Source organism: Homo sapiens, chromosome 7, assembly GCF_000001405.40.
Source record: "Homo sapiens chromosome 7, GRCh38.p14 Primary Assembly".
NCBI classification, from domain to species: domain Eukaryota; kingdom Metazoa; phylum Chordata; class Mammalia; order Primates; family Hominidae; genus Homo; species Homo sapiens.
In genome coordinates, this window is record NC_000007.14 from 38,823,349 (window position 1) to 38,845,798 (window position 22,450).

At 36.6% G+C, this 22,450-nt stretch overlaps 1 protein-coding gene across 3 annotated transcripts in view, besides 1 other annotated feature; it reads right to left on the reverse strand.

Annotated features, from left to right (window-relative positions):
- Positions 1 to 22,450, reverse strand: part of VPS41 (VPS41 subunit of HOPS complex) — a 186,218-nt gene that overhangs the window by 100,375 nt on the left and 63,393 nt on the right. For 2 of the 3 annotated variants that reach the window (XR_007060008.1, NM_014396.4), the window contains exon 5: positions 6,906 to 6,980. The exons of the other annotated variant lie outside the window; for it this stretch is intronic. Coding sequence is in view for 1 of the 2 variants with exons in the window: in NM_014396.4 (NP_055211.2) it covers positions 6,906 to 6,980 (75 nt within the window). In the remaining variant the exon portion in view is untranslated. The remainder of the gene's footprint in view (positions 1 to 6,905; positions 6,981 to 22,450) is intronic. 3 annotated transcript variants of the gene reach the window in all.
- Positions 9,928 to 10,128: a silencer, noted in NCBI's record as "peak6495 fragment used in MPRA reporter construct". NCBI's record gives its function as "represses an SCP1 promoter by STARR-seq MPRAs in K562 erythroleukemia cells {active_cell/tissue: K562}" and the evidence as "EXISTENCE:reporter gene assay evidence [ECO:0000049][PMID:32103011]".

Here is a 22,450-nt window from a genome sequence, read left to right on the forward strand (position 1 = left end):
CAGATGCCAAATGCTGGCACCTTGAAATCAGACTTCCCAGCCTTCAGAACTGTGAGAAATAAATTTCTGTTATTTATAAACTACCCAGTCTAAGGTATTTTGTTATGGCAACACAAATGGACTAAGATAGTTTCTTTGTGAAAAGGTTTCCAATTATAAATTCTATTTGAAAAATAAATATAGGACTACTTAAACTTTCAATTTCTTCTTATTTTAATCTTGGTAAGTTCTGAGTGGTTCATTCTTTCAAGCCCCAAGCAGGAAATTCACTTATGTTATAATTTTGGGAAATAGATTCATGCATTAAAAGTTAAAGTTTTGGGGACCATCCACTCATTTTGTAACTACTGTTTTTATATACTTGTGCCAAGTTTGTTATTTGGGTTCTACAAACAGGAGATAATATAATGTAAAACAGAAGGAATTTCATTTTTCCTGAGGCTGGCCTTGAAATGTATTCTTCACATGGCAAATACACATATGTCCCCCCCATCACCTGCTGCTCATTGTTCAGAGGGTATAAAGTCATTACTTTTATGGAAATATATAGGCATAGGATAATATAACAAACATCTTATAAAATAATGGCTAAAAAGCACAAAAGGAAAGCACTGCATTCAGGGTTTCACTTTACCTGGGGAAGTTTAACTTGATGGACCCCAACAAATCTAAGAAAATCAGGTGAAAAGAAGGAGGTTCCTGAATCATGGGAATCTTAATGGAGTGAATCAACAAATGGCCACCTTGATGAAGCTACCTCAGTATGAATACCTGCTCAACTAGCAAGCTGAACTTCTCCTAACTTAATCTATTTCTTTTCAGTACAATAAGGTCATGTACTGCATGGTCTTGTGCTAAATCTCATACTACTGCTACTAACTTACATCCCTAAATGTGTCAACATGCTTTACCTTAGTGGTTCTCAAACACACCTGTACAGTTAAAATTCCTGGAAACTAATGGCCAAATCCCACCCTGAACAAACAAACTCAAACTTTCTGGTGAGGCGAAATGATATTTTTGAAGTCTGCACAATTGGCAATGTTTTGCTGTTCCTCATTTGGTCCTCATAGCAAAACTGCTAGGTCTAAGAGCAAATACCATTATGCCTGTTGAACTGATGATTCTATAGAAAAATGACTTGCCTAAGGTCATAAAAATCATAAGCAGAAGAGTTAGAACCAGAACCCGGATTTTCTAAATCCTATTCTTCTACATGCTATCTTTATATAGGATAAACTGAAATTTGCAAAAAAGAAAGATATCTTTTTACCTAAAGTGTAAGAAGAGTAGAATAGAACAACAACAAAAAAACATTCAAAAGCCTTAAATATGTGCCAAACTGAAAAGAACATGAATATCAGACTTTGAATTAAGGACACTCTATGACAGAAATTGAAATTAAATGAAGCTGATTATTCATTCAAATGGATAAACTTCCTTCTGCCTTATAGATGGAATAAAGAAATTTTAGAAAAAAAGTGATTTCTATTATGCAGAAAAGTATATGAGATGTAAACAAATGATGCATAAGCCTGTAGAAAAAGACTGACAGATCAGTAAATGTGTGGATAAATACTGGGACTGTGGATGTAATGCTGAAAATTAAATTAGGAATTGCTGAGGATAAATGTCCCTTCAAAAATTAAAAATGCATATTGAAGGCATAAGAGTATAGTGATAAAGAGGAATAAACAAAAAAGAGAACAAAATCAAACAAGTTCATAGTAAACAGGCACCGATACACATCACTATCCTTAAGAATTCGCCAGAAGCAAAAATGTCACTGTCATACCCACAGTAGGGGCTGGAGGAGTAACTGCTGAAGGTGGCAAATCAAGAATAGAACTCTCTGGTCAGTTTCTATTACTATGTTTAACTGAGCAACATTTTCCTCAAGTGTTCTTATATTCTATTTCAATATAAAAAACATATAACTTCACGAGACAAATCTCATAAGCTTTGTCAGTATCAGCACAAGGGTGATTTGTAAAATCTTCAATGTTTTGGTTCATTTCACTACTATGACATGCCAAACTAGCTGCTCACACGTTATACTACTAAAGATAATAAAATCCAAAACAATTCTCATTTATTTCCCCTCTCTCTCCCTCTTTATTTATTTTGCCATTTTGTCTGTGAAAATCACACTTATCTGTAAAGGGAATCCCTCCGCTTTTGGGAAGAGCTCATCTGAGATAAGAATCACATAATTAAAGGTTACGAGAGAGGACCCTTTTGAAAACGGTATCTCCTGTAGTAGCCCTAACAACTACCCTGAACCTGCTAAAAAAAAATACCTAATGAAGAAAAAGAGAAAATTCCTAACAATGAGCCATAGAACCAAGCTCCTGCAAAGTCCTGGGAGAATTCTCATTAGCTACAAACCAGAGAGCCATGTGAGTACCTTAGAAGTATGTGGTACATGTTTTGTTACCCGAAATAGAGGAAACCTACCCTCATGAAACAGTAAGGGATGTAATCATTCTCCACTTTAGCATGAAACTCTATGTATTTGCCAACCAGAACACTGGGCAACAGCCCTGATGCAGAGAAATGAGGACGGAGGTGGCCAGAGTACTATATGACCTTCCCAGTTAGACTTCCCTTGTAACAGCCTCTCTCAAACTTCTGCTTCCAAACAACACATTAAAAATCAGAATAGGGTGGACATGTGAACTGTCATTATACCTCCAGTGGTAGCTAAAGGGACTCTGGCAGTCAAGATTGCTGGTTTTCATACTCTCCACCCAGGCTGACTAACAGAGACCAGAGAGTGATGACAGAAGCCTCTAGTTCCCCCCAGGGAGCTGCCTTCATTTAGTTACGGGAAACTGAGCTCATTTTAGGGTCCCTGTTGCTGAACTAAGGGGATTCTAAAATACCCAAAACAGTAACAAGGGCAAGTTAGACATTGAATCTGTTTGCTAACCCAGGTTGAGGAAGAGATCTGCCTGTTCTGGAATGGATAAACAAATCAAACAAAAACATAGCCAAGGTCTATTAAAAAAGTCCTGCAGAACATTCCAAAGATTCAAAGGGAGAAAAACCATGCTTTAAGAAATATCTTAATATTAACCAGAAACCAAAGAAAAAACTAGAAAACTGTTTGGCAACCACAACAAGAAGATCAGACCTCTAAGAACCTGGAGCAGAAAAACAGGAAGATGACGACAATGATTATAATAATAGCTCACAATTACTAAGTGATTTTTCTGTTCTAGGTTCTATTCCAAGTAATTTACATATATTAACTCATTTAATCCTCCTAATAATTAAGTAGGTACTGTTATTATCCCCATTTTACAGGGGAGGAAATGGGCTGAGGTAGAGAGAGGTATAAATAACTTAGCAGACATCACACAGCTAAGAAGTGACAGGATAATTCCACTGCTAACCACTAGACAACACCCATCTGACACTCTATGGCATATAAAAAGTAGTAATTTTTGTTTATTTATTTATTTATATTTTTATTTTCTTTTTTTGAGATGGAGTCTCACTCTGTCACCCAGGCTGGAGTGCAGTGGCGTGATCTCAGCTCACTGCAAGCTCTGCCTCCCGGATTCACACCATTCTCCTGCCTCAGCCTCCCGAGTAGCTGGGACTACAGGTGCCCGCCGCCACACCCGGCTAATTTTTTGTATTTTTAGTAGAGATGGGGTTTCACCGTGTTAGTCAGGATGGTCTCGATTTCCTGACCCCGTGATCTGCCCGCTTCGGCCTCCCAAAGTGCTGGGATTACAGGCGTGAGCCACTGCACTGGCCAAAAAGTTCTAATTTTAAAAAAATTAAATATATATCAGGCTGATATGAAAACAGAATTGGGAAAGATTTCAGACAAATTAAAAATGCAAAATGCAATAAAAATCTACTCCAGGAAGCAGTAAGACACAAAACTGACTTTGGAAGAAAAGTGAATCAGAGAAGGGAATAAACAAGTAGAGGAACTCTCCCTGACTACACAGAAATAAAAGGCTAAAAATGAGAAAGCAAAGTATATGTGTGAGACGTCACACAATATGAATGAACAATTTTCTATACAACCTATGTATTGCCAAAAGGAGGAGAAGGGTAAATAGTGCTTAATCATTCACCCTCTTGCCTTGAAAAGTTCAGGTACAATAATGGGAGACAGGAAGAGGCCAGACTGCAATGGATTAAAAATGAATGGTTAGCAATAAAAACAATTAATACATAACTGACAGCTTACCATATCCCCTGCACCTCACAACACTCCTCAGGGGCCTCCCACTGCCAAGATGGGGAGAGGGAGGCACTGCCAGGCCAGCAACATGCCCAACTTCACACACCAAGTGGGAATGCCAGCCCAGGCAGCTGGAATACAGAGCTATGCTCCTAGCCTCTAAGCGATATTGCCTTCAGCTTTATATTACTGAATTTCTTTGAAGAAATGAAAACAAATGCAACTGAGGCAATCATCAAAATTATAACCGAACTAAACTTTTCTGAAATGAAAACAATACTTCAGTGTATGGATCAAAAGGACTGACGGTACTCCAGAAAAAATTAATGAAAAGAGACCAGAACTAGACATAACTTAGCAAACTGAATTACACAGACCATTTATTACTGTTGTTGTTCTTGTTGTAATTATTATTATTAGTCCAAGTTCCAAGGCAGGACCAAAAAAAAAATTGTAAAGGTTTTAGAAAAGAACAAAAGTAGGCTGGTTTCAGACATGTCTACACAAATAAATGTCAGAAAAAAGGGAGCAACATCTCCAAAATTTTGAGAAAAAATATTCCAACCCAGAATTTTATACTATAGTTTACATATGAAAGCAACATATGCAAGAAATCCCAAAATAAACCTTGTATGTACTTATCCTAAAAGTTTTCTAGAAACATATGCCAGTAAACTGAAACTGAACACACACACACACACACGCACACATACGATATGTGTGTCTCAAAATGTAGAACTGCAGAAAAGTCATGACAAAAAAAAGATTGAAAATGAGCACCAGCTGAATAAACGGTGTAAATTTTAAACAACTGCTGGAATTATGACTTGAAAACTGAATGCAAATATCAAAGGTTATCCTTGAAATAACCCTAATAAATAATTATTTATCTAGGAACCTTAACACACTGAAGAAAGGAAAAAATACCCACAAAACCTATTTAAAGATGCATTAGATTTAGATATCTGGAATGTGTTTGTGTAATGTCTTTATATTTTTATCATCACCAACCACTTTACCAGATCATTCTATACTAGCTTCTCAATTTTCACAATACTGACTAACCCATGGTAAGGGGGTAGCTTACATGTAATTATGTGTACTAAAAGATTTACTTTCAATTCTACCAATGTTAATAAAAATACGGGAAGATTATTTCCAAAAATATATCATGGTTCCACACTAAAATAGGCAGCTATAAATTTTACCAAAATAGGAAACCAAAGGTGTTTGACAAGAAGGGTACCATGAGATAATCTGAGGTTCATCTTATCCACCAGATGGAGTAGCTAACATATTCCACTTTGGTGCATTAAATAACAATTCTTCAACATTTAAAGCTCTGAAAATTCCTAGATGAAGTATTTAGTAAAAATTCGTTTCCAATTTTTAATAAAAATGAGTACTATCTTTCAACAAATTAGTTCGGTTAAACTGATTACAGCCCAAAAGGAATTTCTCACCTTTAAGAAAACAAAATGAAGATTATCTTTCTTTACAAATACATGAACACAAAAAATGTTTCAGCGGTGTGGATAATTCTTCTCCATTTCTGCACAAACCAACTCCTCCTTCATCTCTCTCTGATAATCATGACAATCTCAGAATTTCTGAAAGTACTGTAAAATTTGACAGTGCTTTTTGAAAAGCACTAGTGTTCCAATTACTGTTTCAAAAGACTCTTTGGGCAACATTAGGCTTAGATATATAAAATGCATTCTTGTATGTCAAGAGACTTCATGTTGCTTTTTGTTAACAGATTAAATGGGTATATCTCTTTTACACCGGGTATACTGTTTTTAATTTACCCATCTTAATGGCCCACTGACTTTAGGGCACATAATAAATACAAAATTAGATTAGGAAATCTGCTTTACTCAGTAAGGAATATGTAAAGATCTATAATGATTCTTAATGCACTCTCTCAAACTGTTATTTTAGAAAAGTAGCTTAAATACACTGTGCATTAGGATTTTATCATTGCAAACCAACATTAGAAAAGATTTCCATCGACTTAAAAACAAAAAAGACATTCTTATAAGTGGAAAATCAATCACCACAACCATTAAATGTCACAGCTCAACATCAGCAAGAAGCACTGATAATTGTTAGTTATACACTGCACAAATGATGTATGTCCTTGGTCGAGGAAGTAGGCGCCAGGTTTTTAGAAAACTGTACATATATTGATTTTACATTTATTTAATGTGGCCATTGTAAGACACTTTATTCTTCTGATAAACTATGATTGCTTATCAAAAGATTCTATAATTCAAGAGAAACATTCATAACTTGTGTGTGAAAATGAAAACCACTGGCCCACAGAAATCATGCCCACAAAATCCAATTTTGTGGATTTATGGCAGAAAGACATTAAACTACTGTCTTGCAGGAACTGCAGACTAGTCACTGAAGCAGAAGTGGCACGGTAGTAATGATTAAGGTGACACGTCACCCTGCCACAGCTGTTAATCAGCTTAATACTAGTTACATTATTGACATTCTTGTAATTACTTTTCCTAAGGCACATTTGTGCAAAATATATTTTACTTCAATTATGACCAATCAGAAGCAAGTTCAATACTCAGAAAGAATAATCAAGATTGTCTTAATGCAGTTATATAGTAAGCAAGGTGCTGTTCCGATCACCTGGGGCTGGCGCCACAGAACTCTCTGCATGACCACATCTTTGCCATACCTTGCCATCCTCTGAACACACACCCATGTGCTCTCCACTTTCATCCAAGCTAATCTGATTTATCTTCACAGGACTCTAAAAAGAAAAAGACAAAAAGATGTGTAAAACTTCAGGAAAATATATATCAACAATCAATGTCTTTGCTCTTTGTAAAATAGTAAGCTCTTTGTTTTCTTCTTAAATAATGACAGTTTCCAACTATCTTACACAAAGCACAGTAGAAACTATGAGAAGAAAAGTAAGCCTACGGCAGCTACAACATGAGCTTGCAGAGTAGTTTTTAAAAAATATTTAGCCTTAAAATGGTTTGGCTTGATGATAAAATAAATGGAAATATGCAAAGTTGAATGTGGGATCTTCAACTGAAAAATATCTCAGATCAAGTAGGCAAAGGTCAGGGCAGACCAAGGCTCCCAGACCTCAAAAAGGCCACCCACTGATTGATGCTATGGAAAGACATTTTGACATGGAGGATGAGACTCCTGGCTACAAAATCCTTTCTCATCTTGATCCCTAAATCACCACATGAGCGACACCCCTGAAATGCAGTCCATGAAAAATCAGCTAGCTCCTTAAAGTTCCTAGAATGTCAGAAGAGTAAAGGTTCCTTGAAGATAGATATTTGATCCATTTTGTAGAAGAATAAACTGAAGCTCATAGCAGGGAATCAAAACAGAGAAAAGAGAGGAGCCAGGGCTACAACCTGGGAGGAGTGAAGAATACTGCACTGGCAGCAAGGAATCTACAAAGAAAGCAAAAGCTGATCTGGGAAAGCACCTAGGCCAGCATGTCTGGACTTCCGGCTGAGAAGTCTAAATGTTCAACTTCTATAGTCTTTGAATAAATTCCTTCCTCAAATTGAATATCTTCTGTTAATAGTTTACTTATTCAGATCTTGAGTTCATCAAACTACATTTTTTTAAATATCGATTTTAGTCTTGGCAAATATAAACTGCACCTACCTCTGATTGTAATTTCTTTGGCATCTGGTTGTAAGCTGCCTCAAATTATAATTTAGTAAGTGTGTGCAGCCTAGGTTTCCTGTCCAATATGGTACTGTCCACATGCAGCCTTTAAAACTGAAAGTTAAATTAAAATTCGATAAATCAGATCCTCTGCTGCACTAACACATGCCAAGTGTTCAACGACTACATGTGACTAGTACTGGAAAGCATACAGATCACAGAACATCATCACTGCAGTAAGTTCTACTGGAGAGCGTTGTTCTGTGCTCAGAAAACTGAGATCCAATAATGAAAGTAACTAAGACATCAAGCCTTCTTTACAAAGCTCTTCTTTACTGCAAGTTACACTTAGTAGATTTTCCTTCTATATACACGTTTATGTAATTTGTTCTTGGACTCTGGTATTGAAAAGCTCATGGCCTATCCTAATATTCTGTAAATCACATTATATCATTTGCAAAGACCTGGCATACACAAGATCTGTTATTCAACCCCAGAGGAAAGCAGTCAGCTAAGGCTGGTTATCTCCATCTCACAATGAGGAAAATGAGGCTTCAAGAATTTATGTGAGTGGTCTAAAGCCACAGTGCTACTAAGGGCTATGTATGTCACACAATAGCATTCCAAGTGCAAATAAACGAAGTTTCCATTACAACATGTTTCTCACTGAATGGAAACCATTTGTGCCATCACATTAGCAACATTATGGGGGAAAAAAATCATACCTCTAAGGTAAGATAATCCTTTTTCCCACGTACCTCTATTAGCAATAGAAGGGTTTTTTTTCACTTTTTTTTCTGCCAACAATCAATATTCATTGATTCATTTCCCTGACTACTAATAAACTTAACCATTTTTCTTAAGTCTATTGACCAATTAATTTGATCTTCTGTAAACTGCTTGTTCACTTCTCTTACTCATTTTTTTCTATTAACATGTTTGTTGTTTTGTCAATCTATAAGAGCTCTTTTCTATTTTTAGGGTATGAGGTATATTTATCCAGATATTGTATATACAGTCTCCTATTTTTTTGCATGATGGTTATTACTTTATTTCTTATATTTAAGTCTTTTACATTTCAGAATTCATTTTCTTTCTTTCTTTTTTTTTTTTTTTTTTTGAGACAGATTCTAGCTCTGTCACCAGGCTACAGTGCAGCGGCACAATCTCAGCTCACTGCAACCTCGCCTCCCGGGTTCAAGTGATTTTCCTGCCTCAGCCTCCCGAGTAGCTGGGATTACAGGCACGTGCCACCACGTCCAGCTAATTTTCACATAACATTCTGAGTTTTCAGTTGTGGTCTCTTTGTCCATTTCTGTATCAATTCAGCATTGATTTAATTATAGAGGGTGTACATAGTATGTTCTGATATCTAGTAAGTCTCAGTCACAACTTTTCACATTTTCTTTGGCTTTTCTCAAGTACTTATTCTTGTAAATTTTGAGATCAAATGACCCCAATGTTGCTAAACATAATGGTCCTTGTTCAATCCTAACTTACTTCACCTAATTGGAGCACGTAGCACCACTGGTAATTCCTGACTTCCATATCTCATGGTTCAGTCCTTGCACCTCTTCTTTTTTACATCTATACTCAAAACATAGTATTTTCTCCAGGCCATGGAATGACTCCTACATTTTTATCTCCAGGCAGGGCCTCTCCCTATTGCAGACCAGTATCTAAGATGGTTTCTTTTATATCTGTACTTGGATGCCTAATATGCACCTCATCTAAAACATATCCAAAACCAAGATCCCAATATTCCCTCTGGAAAGGGCTCTTCCTGATGGTTTCCCCACCTCAGTTAATGCCTTCTGCTTACCTTTTTCTAGTTGATCTGGGTAAAAACTTTCAAGCTACTTTTGATTCCTGTCTTTATGTCCACTCTATATCTAATCTTTCACAACTCCTATCACCTCTTCTGATGAAATTTATTCAGACTCGGACCACATTTCACCACCCCTACAGCTGCTATTCTGGTCCATCATTCTCATATGGATTACCCTAATGGTCTCCTAACTAGGTGACTTTCTCCTGCCCTAACTCTACTAGAAATCTATTCTCAGCAAGCCTGCACAGTGACACTATGTTAACAGGTTGATAAGAGACATTCCTTTGCTTAAAACCCTCCAATGGCCTCCTATCTCAAGAAATAAGCCAAGATTTTTACTACGACCTGACAGTCCTAAATTATCTGGCCTTTGCCCTCCCTCCAACTTCTGACCTCATCCCCTCTTCCCCTGGTTCTCTCTACTCCAGTCCTGATGACCTTTTGCTGCTTTTCCAGCCTTAAGGCCTTTCCATTTGTCCACCCTCTGCCTGGAATGCCTTTCTGCCTACTCTGTGCTGGTAATCATCTTCTCAGTGAGATCTGGCCAACCAATCTAAAAAGTCAACATTTTACCCAAACATTTCATAACTCCTCATTGCTTTTGTTTTGTCTCCTTAGCACTTGCCACTATCTTAGTGTATCTTTTACTTATTTGTTTTCAAACTCACTCACTAGAATATTAACTTCATGAGAGAATGTTCAAAGAATAAAAAATTCCAATTCAACATAAATTCTTGCAGAGAAAAAAAATAAAAAGGAAATGCTCCTCAACCCATTTTACCAGACCAGGATAACCTTATAATAATAAAACTCAATAAGAATATTAGGAGAAAGAAAAAGTACAAGTAAATCTTACCCACAAACATAAATGAAAAAATCCTAAAGAAACAATTAACAAAGCCAGCCTATAGAGAAAATCCAAGTTTATTCCAAAAATACAAAGCTGATTTAACCTATAAACGCTAATTTTCTATATTGATAAAAGAGAAAAATCATAGAATTATCTCAAGGGCTACAAAAAGTTTTTGATGAAACTCAATATCCATTCATGGTATTTAAAAAAAAAAAAAACTTTTTTAGCACACAAGGAGAAAAATTCCTCAGTCTCTTAAAGAATATCTTCTGAATGGTTAGGAAAATATTGCACTTAATGGTAAGATGTTGAGAGCTCTCCCTTTGTTATCTTTGTAATATTGAATCTTTTAATCCGCAAACATGGAACATTTCTCCATTTATTTAGGTCTTCTTCAGTATCTCTAAATAAAGTTTTATATGTTTCCCCTGAGAGGTCTTAATATTCCTTTGACAGTTTTATTCAAGGAGCAGCAATCACAGAAAGCATCCTTTCCTCATTCCTGACAAGTATTGTGTGATTCCATTTACATAACACACAAAAATAGGCAAAACCAGAGTGTGTAGGGGGAGCACACACAGGTTGTAAAATAAAACGGAGAAGTCAGAGAGTTATTACTATAAAGGTCAGTATAGTGGTTACCTCTGAGGGGAAGAGAGAACACTGTGATTAGGAAGAGTCACATGGTTTACTCTCAACAGAGTGGTAGTTTTGTGACTGTTAGCATGGTGATGATCTGTTTTACTACACGTTTTATGTAAAGTTACATTTCACAAATAAACATTAAAAATTTAAGAAGATCAAAAAGAACTGGCCCAGGAAAATGTCTGAGATCGACATCTTTAATGGGTTATTTCTTAAATTTTGAGATTTTTTTTTCATTTTTTTTCCACTTTAATTGTCAAGCTACTCAAATGTTCTCATTCTAATCTGGTCATTCATATTTTCCAAGAAAAAAAAATAGCACATTTTAAATTCATCAGTGATGAAAATATCTTTTATTTTACTTTTTGTTCGTTCACTGTTTTAATAATACTGATGATATTAATACTACTAAGAATAAATAGTAAAACTATTACTACTAAGTTAATATTTACTATACGGTCATTATACACCAGGCTCTATTCTATGAGTTTTATACATACATCATTTAATACATCAATTCTATAAGGTAGGTACTACTACTTTTCCTATTTCATATTTGCAAATATACAGATATCTTACAGGTATAAGTACTTGTGTTTCCTTTTTTTCTTTGATTATCATTATCAGGTGTTTATCAGCTGTACTAGCCTCTTTGCAGAAACTCAACAATTCACTTTATTTTAAAATTTTTCTATTTTATTAATTTCTTACTATTATTCCTTAATTTTTTCCCTTTTTACTTTAGAACAATTTTGTTCACCATCTTGTAATTTCCAGACATTAATATACTGCCTAATAATTATAATGACTCATTTGTCAGTCATATAATAAAATGCTTTTGATTTATCATTGGTCAAAAACCAAAGGACAAAAGTTAATGTGTAATTACAGTAATTATTTCCTTTTTGAGAAAAGTAACATTTTGTTTCATTTCCAAGGATGGTGATGTTGTATTTGCCCATTAATCTAGTTATTAATAAAGTCTAGTGTGGATGCATTGTGGTCTGAGAATGTGGTTTGTATAATATCTATTTTTAGAAATTTAATAATTTGTCTTTGTAAACCTAAGACATAATTTCAAAATAATTCATATTCTCTATTTTAGGCTCAAAATATGTATTTTAAAATCATGCTATTTATATTATTTAATTTCTCTATATATTTACTGTTTTCTCTTTCATCTATCAAAGACTGATTAAAAACAAGTTTCAAAAACTTCATACTCCAATTGTAGTTTTGTTCATTTATCCTTGAATTTCAAATGAATTTTGGTCCAGATACTAGATGCCCTATAATTTGGCATATCAAAGGGTACAATGATTATACTCAATCTTCCTTTTAACTTGTAAATGTAATCAATATACTATGCCTTCTGCTGGTTAATGCTCTTTTGCCCTAAATTCTAGTTTTTATCACATTTCTACTACCAACACGCTTGATTTCTGTTTGGCTTTTTACTGTGTATTTTGCTCACATTTTTATTTTTCACTTTCTCATTTTGTAAAATATGTGTCCTTCAAAGCTAAGGTTATTTTTCTTTAATCAATATAACAATATCTGATCCATTTAGCATTGGCTTAGTTACATTATTTTATAGTTTTTATGTTTCCCCATTTCATTTTTTATTATTTGCTATATTACTCAAATTCTTTTTCTTTTCTATCCAACAATTAGATGCTGTTGATCTACTTTTATCTTATTCGCAATTACCTTTAAATTATTATAAATTATACTTGATTTATGCCTCCCCAAAATCAATGCAATCACATTATTTAGTACTTAATTATTTACTACAGTCTTCCCTTCTCTGTTTCAAAGTGAAAGTATAAATATTTCCCATTTCTTGGGTCACTTTAAAGAGAATTGGAGAGAAAAGCTAGTTAATACATCAGTAAAAACTGCAGTCTTAAGCTATATTAGTTCTAAGAATGAATCCAGGAGCAGAAACTATTTTACTTTTGAGATGTCCATAATTTTTAAACTGATTTATAAGAAGTAATTATAGGTAAAGGATATTTACCCCATGTCATGCAGACTGCAAACATCTTTGTACCTTATTACACATTTTAAATTTTTATTTGGAGTGATTTTTGAAGAAATTTGAATTTTTTAGTCACCAAAATCAAACCAAGTAAACAGTCAATGTGCATAAATTGTAGGTAAACAAGAACAAGAGTTAATTTAACAAAAAAAAATGAAAACCAAAAAATAACATATTTTACCTTTGGAAACAGCAAACTTTTTAAAATAGTAGTTTTGGCAAAGAAGCACAAAAAAGGATACTCTACTCATCTTACACTGCTGATAATTCAAATTTGGAAAATGTTTCTGAAGGGTATTTGAAAATGTGTATCAAAATTACTTAAAATATACATTATCTATTATGACCAAAGAGAAGCAAAAAGATTACTATTTCACAAAGGTCTTTTCACAACAAGTTTCTTTTGTAAGATACTAAGAAATAGAAATTATCTAAATTTCTAAAAGCAAAGCATCTAAATGATAATTCTTAAAAATTAACTTAACAAAAAGGTATTATGTAGTAAGGTATTTGGCTTTGTCCAGTGAGAAGTCCAGCCCTTGCCCTTGGCTTCTGTGTAATAGACAGGAACATCTTAGGTTAAAGGCAGGGGGCTGGCCAGACCAGACATTAGGGTAGGCCTGCCATACCCAATCGTATTAGCATGGGAGCTGGACAAAGCAAAAAGACCAATCATTTAGTGGGTGGGGGCTTTGGGTCAGAGTGGTATTAGTCAACCTGGCAGCTGAGATTAACCACATGAATAACCCTCAGTCGATCATGCCTGTGTAATAGAGTCTACATAAAAATCCTGAACACTGAGGCTCAGGTGAGCTTCTCTGGTTAGCACACATCTATACCAGGAGGGTAGCACATCCTGAGGACAATGAAAGCTTTACATTTGAAACCATCCCATGCTGTAGCCTGTATGTTCTCTCTTCCTTTGGCTGATTTTTGACCTGTATCCTTTCCCTGTAATAAAGCACCATGAATATAACAGCTTTCAGTGAGTTCTGTGAGTCTCCTACCCATCAAACATGAGGGTGGTTTTGGGAATCCCCACAACTTGCAGTGTATGTCAGAAGTCTTGGGTAGATTTGGCTGTCAGGAGAACTGTGCTCTCAAATCTTGAAGTTTGGTTAACTCCAGGTTAGCCGAATATTACTATACTTACAGTATTTGTATATCACCTATGTGACTGGAAGCAGATACTCCCAAATATTAGCATTGGTTATATCTGAGTGCTAAGTTATTAATGTTTGGGTTACTCCTTTCTATGCTTTACTAGATTTCTACAAAAAAAATATTTATTTTGTTTCTAATCAGAAGATAGTTTTAATATATGGCAAGGTAGGAAATTCATTAATCTAAAAACAAAAAGAAACCAGATATCAAATATAATATTTAAAACCATGATTGCAGGAACTTACATGCATATTTTTGAGTGATAACTGAGTATCATCACTATGCACATTCCATTTCCATAACAGTTCCATAACATTTAATAAAGAACAAATAAACAAGAGGATTTCAATATTACAACTGTCAATGTTGCATGCAACTAGCCTGGCATCCATAATCCTATAAAAGAAACAAATGCCTTACGTACATCTACCATTTCTATACACTGAAAACAAAGAAACAAACAGCAACAACAGGAAAAAAAACAAACAAAAAAAAAATGGAAAGAGAGAAAGGGTACAGGATATTCCCAAACATAGAGGGAAACCTTCTAGTACAGGATTCTGCATAGCTAAAATGACTGATTTTCCTAAACCTTTTACCATAACAGCAATGAGCAGAAACCATCACATCTAAACATAAAATTTGGGGTGTGTGTTTGCAAAGATGTAATACTGGCATAAATGTGGGAAAGTGAAAGAGATGAGAGAAAAGAAGACCAGAGAAAAATGGCCTCAGCTGTATTTTCCATTAGCTACAATTTTATTACTAATGGAGACATGTTTGGAATTCTGGACAATATAAGTGAGTTTGTTCAAAAATCAATAATGTCAAGCTGACACTATAGAACATACAAAAATGTTTCCTTAATGGAATAAAAAAAGAAGTCCGAGTAAGCAGGAGGGGGCAAGGACCAGCACATACCTTCTAAATCTAAGTCCACTACAGGTGGTCTCAAGTTCTTAAATTTAAAGAAAAGGTAAAATTACCAACATGTACACCTCATGTGATAATCAATTACCTAATGTAAGATGCTTGAAATAAATACACTTAGTATGGATTATGTCAGCTCTTCAATTAGGAATAAATTCACGGTCATTTCGAAAGCTGCTTTTAATGGTGTTCTTTGTGGCAACTTCTTTTCCCCTGATACTCCTCATCATCCCACCTTAAGCTATCAGTCCCCCAACAGTGAACCCAAGAAATCAATCTCCTAATGTATAATTTGTAAGGCTCCTCTGACTAACAAATGGATAATTGATTCCTTCAAAAATGCTGCATCCCCACGGACCCAGAGAGGAATGAATAAGAAATAGAAGCCAGGATTTCATTTTTGTTCTCTCAGAGACCCACTAGTTAGCAATCTCAACATCCACATGGTTGCCTATGCAACTTCATGCTCTTTAGTCACAGTTAGCAAGCACGCCACACTTACACTCCATGTGTGAAAAGCAAACGTCTGTTCTTTCATACTTGGGAAAAGCTCATTTTACTGCTTATTTTACTCTCCACTGATGATACACCCAGGAGGGAAGCAAGACCTCCATCTGGACTTAAGAAGCCTATGAAAAACACACCTAATCGCAGGTTTTCTATACATCTACAAAACAAAACAAAACAAAAACAAGTACAAATACTTATTTTCTCACTGACTTATTTTAAAACCAGAACAGTATATTCTTTTTTTCTTTGAAACAGAGTCTCGCTCTGTCGCACAGGCTGGAGTGCAGTGGTGTGATCTCGGCTCACTGCAACCTCTGCCTGCTAACCAGCAGAAGAAGGGATTCTTCTGCCTCAGCCTCCTGAGTAGCTGGGACTACAGGCATGCACCACCACGTCCAGCTAATTTTTTTGTATTTTTAGTAGAGATGGGGTTTCACCATGTTAGCCAGGCTGGTCTCGAACTCCTGACCTCATGTGATCCTCCCGCCTCGGCCTCCCAAAGTGCTGGGATTACAGGTGTGAGCCACTGTACAGGTGTGAGCCACCGTTCTGCCCGGCCAGAACAGTATATTCTTTAACTATAAACTCTCCAATCTTTTCAGTTGCTCTAAGATTTCCTCTCCAGCACTAAACCCTTCTTTGATTCAAGATGGAGAATATATTAATCAAACAAGCAATCCTGAAGTTGGAGAACTTTCATGAAGCTCTCTTGAAAGTCTCACAATACAGGTTCAGTAAATGCAAAAGGGAAGATGGAAGGGCTCCAGCCAGTTCCCCAGGACAGCCATCCACTCAGTGCTCCGGGGCCTCCCATCACTGTCACTCCTGAGTAGCATGGCAGCTGGCTGCTGTCCACCCTTCCATCGCTAACTGCTCTCCCTAAGGTTGCCAAGAACTTCAGAGGCTGAAGCAAACGGGGAATTCTTTCAGCATTCCCATCCTTGACTGCTTTGTGACAACTGACGCTGCTGACCACTGCTTCCTTCCAACTTTCTTTTCCCTCAGCATTGACAACAACGAGCTATATAAACACTGTTGAGTAAAAAAAAGTAAACTGTTGTTATGTTTTTATTTTTTGTTATATTTTTGTTATTTATGGGCCCAACGACAAAAGCGAAATCCATCATTCTTACCTAGCACATCAGTACTCCTTCCCACCAAAAAATAGGCTATAAAAACATGAACCCATTGCACACTGTTTATGGGGAAATTATTTAATGACAGTTACTACAATATGCTTCCCCTTAGGAAAATGGGGGAGAAGACTTTAGCTCTCAAGTGAACAATCATCGCAAATATTAGGAAAGAGACTGAACAAAAATCCTACAAGAAAAAATAATGAATACACGCCTAGTCTGACTTCACAGCAATATTAAATTCTGGATATGTTATAAATGTTAAGTAAATGAAGATTTTTAAATGTTCAACATAAAAAACAGAAACAATGATTACTAAACATATAATGAAAAACTAGTTCAGAATTAAAACAAAGTAATGCAAAATAAACATTAAATGTAAAATAAAAGAGACAAAAATTAAGACGCTGAAAATTTCAGTCCCCATTAGCAAATGGAAATATCATATTAATTACCAGACAGGCTGCTGGCTTTTGCTTAAAAGTGAGAAGAGAGGACTTCCTTCATTGAAACAGTAAAACCATTTAATGTTTTCATACCGGGAACAGATAGTGAAAAGGACCAGACCCACCCACTCTCTAGTCCAGTTCACCACTCCTGTACTTGAAGTACACAAGTTTCTCAGGTGACCTAGCTCTCCTGCCCCAGAACAGCTGAGAGTTGCCACTGTGTTGGCAGCAACTCATCTTCCTTCCCCCTTTTGTTCTCATTTAAAACCAAGTTAAAATATTTACAGTTTGAGGGTTGTAGATTTTTTAATAACTACACATAGAATTGAATAAGTACCTAGGAAGAATCCAGAACCAGACTACAAAATAAAAAAGAAAGAATTTTTGGGTTACAAATACCATTTAAACTGCATCACAGTCATTCAACCAACAAAGAAGCCTGGCTGGCCAGCCTCAGATGTACTTCATTCCTCACGAGTGTGGATGTGGAAAATATATATACACATGACTCACTATTCTCTTGCTCAAGTTACCATTTTTGCCAATTGATGAGAAAAGATACTTCCAAGGAACCAATCATCCAAGGTATACAAAGGAATGGCTGCCTATTTCCTTTCATTCCCTATGTCCATTTACTAGTAGACAAGAAATGGGTCTTCTACCTGAATGACACCACCAAAATGGCTGGGGGAAGGGTCACCAAAGCTTTCTTAGCTTCAAAGTCAGTGGATGCCCTTCAGTCCCCATGGCTTTCTGGCACCTGAAACTCTACTCCACTGGCTTCCATTACACCCACTTCTCTTCATTTCCTTCCTGCCTTTCTACTCACAACTTTTGTTGTTGTTGTTGTTGTTTTGCTCTTGTTGCCCAGGCTGGAGTGCAATGGCGCAATCTTGGCCTACTGCAACCTCCATCTCCTGGGTTCAAGCAATTCTCCTGCCTCAGCCTCCCAAGTAGCTGGGATTAGAGGCATGCGCCACCACACCCAGCTAATTGTTGTATTTTTAGTAGAGATAGGGTTTCACCATGTTGGTCAGGCTGGTCTCAAACTCCTAACCTCAGGTGATCCACCCACCTTGGCCTCCCAAAGTGCTGGGATTACAGGCGTGAGCCACTGCACCCAGCCTCTACTCACTCACAACTTCTCAGTCACCCTTTCAGGTTGTAGATCCTCAGCCTGCCTCTTAAACAGCGGTATTTTCAATCCAGCTCAGGCCTCTCTTTAGAGCTGCATATTCACATTCAACAACTACTCTACAGCTCTGTGTCAAATTGTCAATTCCAGAACCAGTGCCTTCTTCTGTATTCTCAATTTCACCTAATGACTCTCAGTCCACTTAGCTATCTAAGCCAGAGTACTAAGAGTCATCCCAGAGAAATTTTTCTCCCTCATACCCCACACAAGCAATCAAAAGTCACTAAGTCCTATCCTTCTATCTCTCTTAATACCTCTCAAATCCATCCTTTTCCCACTGCTGTAGCAAATGATCTCTTAATTGACACCACTTCCCCAAACAAGCCCCACAAGCACATCCCCCGACACACGCTCGTCTTCTCCAACACCCCATTTTCCACACTGCTAATCCCAAAGTCAGTCTTCTAAAAGCAAATTACACATGTTGCTACCCTGTTTAAAGTAAATTCCTTAATATGGCTTTTAAACAGAACAACCATACATCCCAGTTTGCCCTTGTGTCTATCACTGCTGTCCAGGTATAATTATTAAGAGCTGCCCTTTCATCCTCATTCGAATAGTAAAATATATAGTCGTCCTACTGATAAAGCCATTTTTCACTGCGTGGCTCCACCTATCTCTTCAGGCTCATTTCCAGCCAGACCCAAAAGATTCACAAGATTCTAAACATCCTGGTTTTTTGAAATGTTTTCTTTAACTCTATATATTTGGCTTAGTATAGGCCATGCATAGCCTCTGTCGCCCACCACTTGGCAAATTCCAGCTCTTTCTAAAAGATTCAATGCAAGCATCACCTCCTATGGGAAGGCCCCTAACTTCCTTTCTGCAGGATGGCATACCCCTCTTGTGTGTTCCCACATCAGTCTCTATCCAAGCATTCCTGTTTCAGAACAATAACTCACTTTGCTGCTTGTCTCTGGCACTTAATTGTGAGCCCATGAGAGCAGAAATCTACTTTAAACTCAGCATCTGGCATAGAAAAGCTCGATGAAGCTCCCAAGGGAACAAGAACCACAATCATTCAGAGTCTGAGGCACATCTCATGCAATGAGAAAACAGGTAAATACATAAATAAACAAAAGCTCTATAAAAAGACAACTAAAGAGCAGAATAAAAACAGAGGCAGAGTTTTGTTAAAATGTTATTTTCTTAAAAATAAGAAAAAATTTAAAGGATGATAAAGCCTCAATTAAGTTCAATGGAAAGAGTTAACTTCTGACATGCCCCTGTTCTTTTGGGACCCAAGGTTTTCAATACTCAACTGAAAAGATTTGATCAGATTCAAGTAGCTGATGAAGAGCTGACAGTCCAGATGCGGCAATCATGTCCCCGTGACACTAATTATATTTCAGAATTAACATGAGTATGCAAAAAATGTCTTCTTATGACGTTTTAAAGATGACTCTATGCCTTTAAAACTGAATGACTGGCCGGGCGCGGTGGCTCATGCCTGTAATCCCAGCACTTTGGGAGGCCGAGGCAGGTGGATAACGAGGTCAGAAGATCGAGACCATCTTGGCTAACATGGTGAAACCCTGTTTCTACTAAAAATACAAAAAATTAGCCGGGCGCGGTGCTGGGCGCCTGTAATCCCGGCTACTCAGGAGGCTGAGGCAGGAGAATGGCACGAACCCGGGAGGCGGAGCTTTTAGTGAGCCGAGATAGCACCACTGCAGTCCGGCCTGGGTGAAAGAGTGAGACTCCGTCTCAAAAAAAAAAACAAAAAAAAAAACTGAATGACTATATTAAATTGAAGCTCTTTCAAGACAATCCAGATCTTTACAGAAGCTGCTGTTTCTACAGATAAGAAAATAACTGCCTTATCAGTAACAATTCGTTCCAACTTGAGAAATAATTAGGAAATTCAAAAGGCAGCGATTTATAAGCAGAAGGGGTAAGTGATAAAAAGTGGCATGGCCGGGTTATGTTACATTTAATATACTGCATGAAAATGTGGTTGAAATATCCTTTTATTCCAAAAACAACTACTGATTATCTACTATATATTTATACTTTTAAAAGTTCACCTCTATTTATATGTATAAGCAATGCTGCTTTCTAAGCGAAAGGTATTTATTTAAGTTACATAGTAGCTAAAAATTAGTCATACCAATATTGCTATTTTAATAATATGAAACAATTACATGTCTACTATTTGAGATGATGACTGTTATACTCCTAATACAAGAGTGCACAAATGCTCCCCAAATATCACAGTCTATTGAACTGCAGACGATTCCTTCCCAGTGATTTCAAACTAGCTGCAGTGCTTCAAGTAGCTTTATGGTTCATCAGGGCTGTGCCCTGATGCTACAAAATTAAAGTGAATAATATAAAATCATTACTTTAAGATATACAGACTGCATCATTTATATATATCTCCGTAGAGCCCTAATATTCTCTAACTTCTAACATAGACTGAAAAAACTAAATTTGTTAGGAAACTTGTTAGGAAACTTTAGCCACTTAAACTTCCATTCTAATGACCTAAAAACAAATTACTCTATTAGAATATAAACGTCCTTGATTAAACTTTAACATCTTGGAAATAATCTAAAAAAAATAAAAATCATCTGAGAATGTGAAGAACGGAAAGAAATTTTGAGGAAGAGTCATCTTGTTTGGAAAGAAAATAATTTTGCCCATCCATGTCATCCCTGTTTAACAATGGAGCTTAAATTTTCTGTATTTATGAGAATGCTTATAAATCAGTCTCTGCTTATTCATTAAAATATCCCTTCTTTTTTCCTTAACTTTTCCTCTAATCAAGAGTTTTTAACCATCTCCCCCATAAGAGCATTTATATGCTGTAAACTTATGAGACCATAGAAAATGACCATTTGCAACTTCATTTGACCCCTAAAACCCTAGGCTGCTGTGCCTACTCTGTGCCTGAGACCAACAGCCCCGTGTGCATGGCTGACAGGTAAAAGGCTCAGATATTCACCCCGCTGTTGCACCCACCAGGACGGTAGAACCTCAACAGAGGCAGGGGCACGGAACGGCCTTTCCACCTACAGAAGACTTATTAGATAGACATTGGTTTTCTAAATCCTAACAACCTTTAAAAGCACAGGGAGGATTTGAAGGGTTTGCCTCCTAAGAGGCTGGCATACTGCTGATTCCTTGAGCTGTTTTCCTTTTGTTAAACTTCATCTTCTGCCTGTGCCTGCCACAAGCCCACGGACAATGGTAGAAGCCTGGCTCGCACACAGCACCAGACAGTGACTATGTACTCAAGACAGTTATTCACAATCTGGGAAATGTTCAAAACATTACTTCAATAAAAGGAAAAAAACAGGCTTTTGGTACAAATCATCTCTTTTATTCTCATGCCAGAGACCGTGCTGGATAGCAGATACACAGTGGTACACAAAACAAATGTGAACCTTGCACTTATTGAGCTTACAAATCACTGAAATACCGTTCAAGTTTAAGATAGTCACCTTCCGGGATGCTACAAATCCTGCAGTTGTCCCGTAGGGTGAGGTGGATGAACAGCAAATCTAGAGTTGGAGCTCATTTTCCCCAGAGCTTGCAATGCCCACATCCTACTGCTACTAAGAGAAAGTTAAATTTCTCTTAACAGTTCAGATCAACACCTTGGACAAGTTGCACTGTGGTCTCCCCAAGATGTCTTGAATGGTTGTTTACAATACTAAATTTGGCAGGTAAGACAGAAAACTAATGGGACCTTTTATATAAATCAAAACCAGTCTGAGCAATGGCATAAGGAGCCAACAAAGTTTCTCTTTCTAGTATTCACACTATCAATGAAGAATTGCCAAGCACCTGCTATACACCAAACACTGCATTTGGTTCTGAT